The following is a 9,238-nucleotide window of genomic DNA, read 5'->3' on the forward strand; positions in this document are numbered from 1 at the left end:
TGGAGATTCTGTGTTGGAAGCTTCTACAGTCCATCATCTGTGATATATGGAAGAAAATAGGAAAACCCAGAAAAGTGACAATGTTATCAATCTTTAAGTCCTAAAGTCCCTAGACAAACTGCCTTCCTCTTTCTGCCTTTCAGAGCCTGTCCTTGTTTTTTTCTCGTTATATCCATGGTGTTTTAGTTGTTTGGAGGAAACACTGGGCTGTTGCATCGTAACTGGAAATCCTAGGAAGTGAATGGTTGAGAACGGCTTTGAAAGTTCCATGCAAACCAAATCTCATAACGCAAAACATGGGAAGATATGATTATAGAGAATGACATGATATGATTTACCTACAATAAAGTGGTTTTATAAAATAAAGTCTTCACCAAAATTAAATATTCTTAGAGAAGTCTGCTGAGATCAGCTAGGTCGTGAAGACCTTAACCCAGTGGCACTAGAGGAATTAAAGACACACACACAGAAATCTAAAGTGCAGAGTGGGATCAGTGGGCTGACAGCCTTCAGAGCTGACAGCCATGAACAGAGTTTTACCCACATATTTCTTGACAGCAAGCCAGAGATCAGCGTTGTTTCTATAGATTATAGATTCAGTAAAATGGAAGACAAAGGGAGGGGTTCTCGTTAGTTATCTGCAGCAGGAACATGTCGTTGAGGCACAGATCACCCATGATATTATTTGTGGTTCAAGAACGCCTTAAGTGGTTTTCTGCCCTGGGTGGGCCAGGTGTTCCTTGCCCACATTCTGGTAAACCCACAACCTTCAGTGTAGACGTCATATCTATTTTGAGCATGTCATAGTGCTTCAGAGATTTTGCTTATGGCCAGTTTTGGGGCCTGTCGATGGCCAAATTTGGGGGCCTTTTCCCAACATGTCTTCTTTTTTTGTTTTTCTAAGACAATAAAAGCAAATGCAGCTTTACTACTCTGAGCTACTTCTCGCAGGAGTCGGGATCTGCATCTGCAGACTATACAAAGACAAACAACAGAGGCTAAAAGCACAATCATCATTAAAATCACAGAACCTCCAAGAGTTCTTATCCATTTTATTGGATTAGTAGCTGCTAATCCATCTGCAGCTCCTTCAAGTACCCCTGTTCCTGGCATTAAGGTTAAGTGTGCCTGGGATACTTCAAATAATTGTTATTTTAATTTACAATATCCAAAGACATGTTCATAGAGTGTCCTTCTAGATGCTTTTTTATTCTTTCCCAAATGTTTATACTACGAAGAGCCATTAATAGGTTCCACAAATCCTTATTTTTAGCTCCTAGAGCGAGCCATATCATTTGAGGTTGAGGTGCCATTATACCGCCATGTTTCCAGAGGAACTCTTGCGGTACTTCTTACCATTTTTACCATCTGATGGCTTTGTTCAGACCAGCTGAACATAATGTGGCTGTGGCACATAGACTGAGAGTTGCAATTTAAGGTAAACATCCCCTTAGGGGGCCAAACAATAAGGATTCCCTAGGAATTGTTACACAGCACCTCAGTCTGTTCTGCAATGCAATTTTCCCAAACAAGTACATTCATTTTCTCTGGCCACGTCCAGCTCTGTTTACAAATAGGTTTTTAAGGGTGGTATGCCTCAATTATAGGAGCAGATTTATTATGAAATATACTGAGACCAGAAAGCATGTGTGTCAGCATGGACAGGACTGTGTCAGTTCTGTTAAAGAAATACTCATGGCAATGGTGATCACCGCTTTGATAGCTATCATTAAATTACTCACTGGGACTGGTTGTCCCACCTCAGATTTTCTCTCACCATCTGTGACAGCTTCTTGATCTGTCCTCAGGTGGGTGGCTGCTTTTGATGGGTGTTGCTCATGATATTTGGGGTCCTCCTCAGGGTCAACTTAGACAAGACTGCCACCGATGTGTCTTTGGAATCCTCTCAAAACCACTTTCTTGGTATCTGGCTCATAGCAGGGCTTTAGATGTCTCAATGGCATGCACATTGGCAGTTGATTTGGTACTGGAGAAACACAAGCATAACCTCCACTCGATGTTATTATTTTACCTATTTCCCAACTTTCCATTATTGGATCTCTCCACCAAACCAGTTTTTCTGCTTCTATCTTTGCAGCTGGCTTCTGTAGATGCTGTTTGGCTGCAGATAGCATCTGGTCCTAGACAAGCTCAAAAAATTTAGAGTAAATCATGCTAGATTCAATTTCATATGTGGCATCCCACAGTCCCTGTTTCCACCTTTTGCTTTTGCAACTGTTGTTTAAGGAAGAGATTCATTCTTTCCACTATGGCTTGTCCTTGAAAATTATATGAGATACCAGTAATGTGTTTAATATTCCATATAGAGAAAAATGTAGCTAGAACTTGGCTACTATAGCCTGGGTCACTGTCCTTTTTAAAGAAGCTGGAATGCCCATCACCACAAAACACTGCAAAAGGTGACATTTAACACAGGCAGAAGACTCTCTTGATTGGCAAGTAGCTCAGACAAAGTGAGAAAATGTGTCCACACATACATGTATATAAGCTAGTCTCCCAAACAAGGGAAAATGTGTGACATTCATTTGCCAAAGAGAATTAGGTCCTAATCCTCGAGGATTAACTCCTCCTGTAAAAGATGAGGAATGCACCATTTGGCAAGTTGGGTATCGCTGGATAATAGCTTTCACTTCTTTCCAGATAATGCTGTACTGTGTTTGAGACCAAAAACATTAACATGGGTTGAATTGTGAAAGTGTCTGGCATTAGATATTGTAGTAGCAACTGGCGGATCAGCCATTTGATTCCCTGCAGTCAAATGTCCTGGAGGAGGTTTATGAGCTCTAATATGAGTAATGCAAAAAGGGTTCATTCTACTTCTAGCTGCTGTGTGTAATTGGGTAAATAAAGTCATCAGTTGCTCATCTGTGTGGAATCATAGCTGAGCATTTTCAAGTAACTGTGTAGAATGAACCACATATGAAGAATCAGAAATCACATTTATAGGCATACTAAAACAAGTCCATACCTCAATTACAGCTGCAAACTCCACCTTTTGAGATGAAATATAGGGCATTTCCTGAGCTGGAAATGCCCTGGTTTAGAAAGCGGACTGGGACGGCCCCTCCTGGCATTTCCCAAAATCAGGTTTCCATCTTTATCAAACTTAGAGTGACACTGATTATCCGAGTAATTTTCTTTTTGCATTTTGGACATATTCCAGGCTCAGCAGTTTTCCTTTTATCCCTCAACTTGTGGCCTGACTCACTGATTTTTTTCACATTCTTTTCCAGTGTGACCATGCTTCCCACAGTTAAAACAAGCTCCAGGAAATGGAGTATTTCCTTTACCCACTTTCAGTCCTGTCATGGCTTGCACCACCAAAGTAGCTTTATGCAGATTACCTCTGATACCATCACAGGCCTTGATATAGTCAATTAAATGTGCTTTCCCTCTAATAGGTCACAGAGCCACCTGGAAATATGGATTTTCATTGTCGAAAGCTCATAACTGCAACATTATATCCTCAGCAGCTAAATCTGCAGTCATTTTTTAAGAGACTCCTATAACCAAGCTATAAAATCTGCATATGGTTCTTTTGGTCCCTGTTTTATAGCACTAAAGGAAAGATATTGTTCTCCTCCTGAAGTTATTTTTCCAAACTCTAATGCATACTCCTCTAAGCTGTTCTATGGCATCACCCAGCATGACCACTTGTGCATCCAAACCAACGCAGCTGCCTACCCCCAAAAGATGGTCTGTAGTTATATTAATTTGAGGTTGGGCCTGCGCATTGTGAGAAGGCTGAAAAAAGCTTCTTCTCCTCACCAAGTTTTAAACTGTAAAAAGTGAGCGAGAGTCAGGCAAGCTCACGTAAGAGCATCCCATTCAGTAGGAATCATCTGACTGGGGACAGCAACATTCTTTAACGGTACCATTACCAAAGAAGAACCTGGTCCATATTGATTAATAGCTGGTTTAAATTCTTTGAGTAATTTAAAAGGAAAAGGCTCAAAAGTAGTGATAATATTTCCCTGTTGACCTGGGGCATGTATCCTAACAGGGAGCTGCCAAGCCTCTATATCACCCTCTCGTCTAGGTTGCTGAATTCCTGCCTGAATAGAACGAAGAGCAATTGCTCATGGCACTGCTTGAACAATCATGGGGCAACTAGTTTTTGGTCAGTGGGTTCCAGAAAAGAAAGATCTACAGGGTCAGACCACTCTTTTTCTTCAAAATAGTGAGGGAGTGAAGAAGGGCAGAGACAAACCTCTCTCTCCTTTGCCACTTTAGCTTTAGCTGGCAAACAAACCTATTCTGTCACCTCTTCTGTTACTTTGCTATACTCTCCTTCCTCCTAATCATCAATGTGAAAATGTTCCAAGGTGGAACAAACCAGAACCTGGACTTGTCCCATTGTTAACCTGATGCTTCCAAACTCCCCTTCTAACTCACTATGGCGATTGCTTAAGAGTAGCCAGATGTCCTCCAGTGTAGTCCTACATTCTCCAACCATTGCTCCGGTGACCTTTGACCTGGGTTTGAGACCCCGTATAGTCACCACTTGCCGAGGCCAGCTCGGTCATGGAAACCATAACCCAATGGCACTAGCGGCATTAAAGACACACACACACACACACACACACACACACACACAAATATAGTGTGCACAGTGAGAATCAGGGGGCTAACAGCCTTCAGAGCTGAGAGCCATAAACAGAGTTTAACACACATATTTATTGACAGCAAGCCAGTGATAAGCATTGTTTCTATAGATTACAGATTAACTAAAACAGGAGACAAAGGATGGGCTCTGGCTAGTTATCTGCAGTGGGAAAGTGTCTTTGAGGCACAGATCGTTCATGGTATTATTTGTGGTTCAGGAATACCTTCAGTGATTTTCTGCCCTGGGTGTGCCAGGTGTCCTTGGCCTTCATTCTGATAAACAACCTTCATTGTAGTCATCATAGCAATCAGAAGCATGTCACAGTGCTATAGAGATATTGCTTATGGCCAGTTTTGGGGCCAATCTATGACCAGATTTTGGGGCCTGTTCCCAACAAAGCCTTTATAATATATGTAAAATAGCCAATGATTTAGAGCATATTAATAATATAGATCAATGAAAAAATTATAAAATACATATCCTACCCTTCAAAATAAAACAAAATTGGGAAGACTTCCAGAAAATATAAGCAAAAATGTGTTCTTCCTCAAATGCTGAAGGGTTATAGTAGAAAGACCTTTGTCAGAGATTTTATTTGTTAAGTGACAAATGATTTAATAGAAATCAAGCGTTTATTTTTCAGTTCACTGGAGCAAAGTTAAAAGCTGCAAAAACAACTCCTATGAAAGCCAGAGCTTCTAAGTGTAAGATAAAATTTTAAAAAAGAATAACACACTGACTATCAAGAAAAGAAACATCCCTGAGGTTTGGACTCCAGCAATATTAGTGTGAGATTAAACCTGACAGTTCATTGATACAGTAAACTGAGGAGTAAATTTAGATATATTTTCAGGAAAGAGACCATTTCTGTGTCCAGTGGGGTTGGGCACCCTGCCTAAATAATTGGTGGAAGAAAGCATGATTCAGACATTTTGGTAAAATACTTAAGTCAGTACAGAGAGTCATGTCTCACAGATACTAGGATCTAACACAGAATGAGGTTTGTATTCAAATACATGAGAGAAAGATTTATATCTCAGCCTCTATCCTGTGGTATATTCAAGACTGAGGTTAGATTTTTTCATGTTGCCTACAAAATATAAGGTCCCCAAAGGCAGAAATGGGTATACAATACTAGATTGAACAATTAACCTAAAAGGTTAACCTAAAAAGGTTAACACAAAACTGCCCCACTAAGAATCACTTTACACTCAAGAACTAAAGATTGCTTTATCACTTCACAGACGACATTAACAATTCACAGATGGATGTTCCATGTCCTAAGGGGTAGCAAAGGAAGACACACTTAATGGTCATACTCAAGGATAAAAAGTTGAATCAAAAAAGTCTTCATAATGAGTAGGTTTAGGAGTTCTCTGAGATGAAGAAATGGAATCTAAAGGAAAAAAGATGTGGGTAGGAGGAAAAAAATAATCTTTTTTAAATAGACAATTATACATTATTGAAAAATCAACCATATATTAAAGGAACTCAAATAATATTTTGTTTGTTTGTTTCTTCTGCAGTAGACCCCGAACAAGTACAGTAGGAAAAGTACTTTCCTATGTTGATCTGTAGTAAGTTTGCCAGGTGCAGGGACATAACATTTCAATTTAAAATTTGATTACTTTTTGACAAACAATAAAGAATTTGTTTTCAGTATGAGCCTGTCCCATGAGATAACGAGAATTTTAGTAAGTTACTAGAATATTGAGAATTATACTAAAATGCTATTTGCTTATTTAAAATGAAAATATAACTGGTAATCCTGTATTATATCTGGTGACCGTAAATGAAACAGAAGTCAGGAAAGTGGAACTCAGTGGTGGAAGGTTTTATATACATTTACAAGAAACAAAAGAAGACAAAAATATACAGAAAGGGAAACACACAGATTTTGAAAATAATCTCTACAGAAAATATTTATCCACATAAATTATCATTTACTAGAAACATATTTTTAACTCTCAAAGATTATGCCAATATTAAAGACTTATCAAAAGACCAAGAGAAAGAAACATAAAGCTTATTTTATTTTAGCAAAGAGAAAAATAAATCTCAAAATAAAAGAGGTAGGCAGGAAGTTTTTGTTTGTTTGTTTGTTTTGTTTTCTGAACGGGGCTAGACATAGGTTTTACTTTGTTTAAAAAATGCTATTGAATTTTTTTAATTTGATTCTTTAATTTTTTTAATTTGATTTTCTGATTTTTTTAATTTGATTTTTGAATTTGATTAACTACAGAAACTGTAGAAATTTGGTGATTAATGTCAAAAGCACAAAAAGAAAAAAATACGAGTAAGAAAAGTAAATGAATACAATTAGAAAAACAGGTGACGGGTGGGGAAAGGGAGAGAAGAACAAAGGCAGATAGGAGGCAAAGGCAGAGCCAAAGAAAATCTAGGGTAAATGAAAAACTGACTGAGCAGGTGTTAGTTATTTAGATAAGAGAGTAACCATATTAGATGTAAGCTGTTTAAACTCATGTGTTAAAATATAAAATACTCTACCGTTAGATTGATAAAAATTTGCTTTCACCTAGGAATAATCACACTGAAATATTGAAAATAAGGATTTAGAAAAAATTAACAAGTATTTATCCAAAAAAATTAGGCCACTGTTATTATATAAGGAAAATGAGAATTTTAGAAAAAATGCAAGGAATAAAGATGGAGAACTATAGATGCAAGGCAACAGACAAAATATGAAACATCAAAATATTAAAAAATTTTAAAGATAATATAACAGTCACAAACATAAATTCCTCAGTAGCATTATCACAATATACATCTGAGGCAAATTTTATGAATATCTATTTATATAGACAAGCCCCAATTGTAGTGAGATGTGTTATATATGTGACTCATCTAGACTAATGAGTATACAGACATTTAGTCATCAATAGAAACACTTTGCAATGTTTGTGTACTTACTTTTCTTCAGTTTCAAAATGTGAAGCCAAGTAGTAGAGCATGTTTTCAGAATTTCACAGCTCTGCAATAGAGCAAATATTAATACAGAATAACACTTTTCCCCTTCAACGTCAACTCCATCTAACCTAACTAGCATGATGCTTTGCCTTCTCACATGCTCTCTAGACATCCTACTCACCCTTCTTTTCTAGATCCACATTCTCATGATACTGTCTTCTAACAGAGCTTACTTGGATGCCAACACAATGCAGGCTTGTGAAGATATCCAAGCAAAGAAGGAACAGGAACTGCAAGATATCAAGTCGTAGTAAAATGAATAACTCAATTCTTACACATAAATATTTGGCAGAGTGTTTCAGCTGAAGCATTTACAGCTCTGACAAATCATCACATGGCTGCTCTGCAGTAAACATATGTATTCCACCAAACTAATGTAAATGTTCAAATACCTCACTTTCTATCTCAAGCTACTGGGATGTATCTCCAAGGAAAACTTCCCAGTGGTTAAATCTTTTTATTCAGAAAAAATATGAGAGGTTTTAAGTTAGCAATTTTAAAAGGCAACCCTTTGTTAAAATGATTGTTCATACTCCGGAAATTTGTGGCATGTTCACATTTGTTGCTAGAGCAGTTCTATTAAGACACTCATTGGAATATGTGATGCTTCTTGATAGGGACCTGTAACATGCCAGCTTTCAAGGGATGAGACCACGAATTCACATATACGCCATCTATCCTCAAATAACTGCTATCTACATAGGAAATAAAATGGAATAGGGGTGAAGTTTCAATTCTTAGAGCTGGCATTTATTAAACTTTGCCTCAAAGATAATGTGATTTTTATGACTGACTTTTCAAATTAGCTTTTCTTCCCAAGTCCAGGCTCCCTTAATTTCCTCAGCCAATAAGAAAATATTTTTCAAAAATGCAAAAATTAGCAACAATTATGCTGACTCCACTACAGAAGAATTTGGATTCTGACTCATTGATTAGCTTTCCAAATGCAATTTTATAATCTACTCCTAACAGATCTGGATTAAGACTCATTCACAAGATTTCCAAAAGCAATTTTTTAATAGGTTATATTCCAACAACATACTCATCCATTTTTCATTATCCTTGGGATAAAAATGTCAGCTCCATCTTAAGGAGGATATGTTTAAATTTCTAAGAATTTGTATCACAACCACAGACCCAAATATGTTTCATGTAATTTTGCTCCATAAATATTTTTCTTAAATAGAAAATGTTACTTTATTAAAATGACCCCCCAATTTTAACCATTTCAGTGGTCTAGTTAAACAGTTTCATACCAACTCTCTAAAACCTAAATTTAAACTGACCATAGGCCACTAATCTCTTACTTTTATAGACTCGAAGACAGAATTTAAATTAGGTTTAGTATTTATTTGTTTAATCTAAATCTTAGTTTCCTGGAATAATAAAGTTTGATGTTTAGCAAGAAAAGTACTTGAGTTTAAGCCAGTTTCAATACAAGCTTGCCTTCTGCATTATTATTGAGTAGCAGACATTAAGTGACTATAGTTACTGGGTATTAGTGATGGTAAACTTTGTGTTTTTCATTATGAAATAATCTGTGTAACTGTTGGGTATATCAGTGCTTTCAAATGTGCTGCTTAGAATAGGATTAACTGTAAATTCATGTCAAGAATTAACTTG

General features: G+C 37.1%; 1 long non-coding RNA gene across 1 annotated transcript; it reads right to left on the bottom strand.

Annotated features, from left to right (window-relative positions):
• Positions 1-5,821: 5,821 nt before the first annotated feature.
• Positions 5,822-7,819, bottom strand: LOC107987357 (uncharacterized). Its single transcript, XR_001756093.1, has 3 exons — positions 7,737-7,819; positions 7,559-7,619; positions 5,822-6,023 (listed from the first exon to the last, which is right to left on the bottom strand). It is a non-coding gene; the product is annotated as an uncharacterized LOC107987357 (long non-coding RNA).
• Between the last annotated feature and the right edge of the window lie 1,419 nt (positions 7,820-9,238).

Source organism: Homo sapiens, chromosome Y, assembly GCF_000001405.40.
Source record: "Homo sapiens chromosome Y, GRCh38.p14 Primary Assembly".
NCBI lineage: Eukaryota > Metazoa > Chordata > Mammalia > Primates > Hominidae > Homo > Homo sapiens.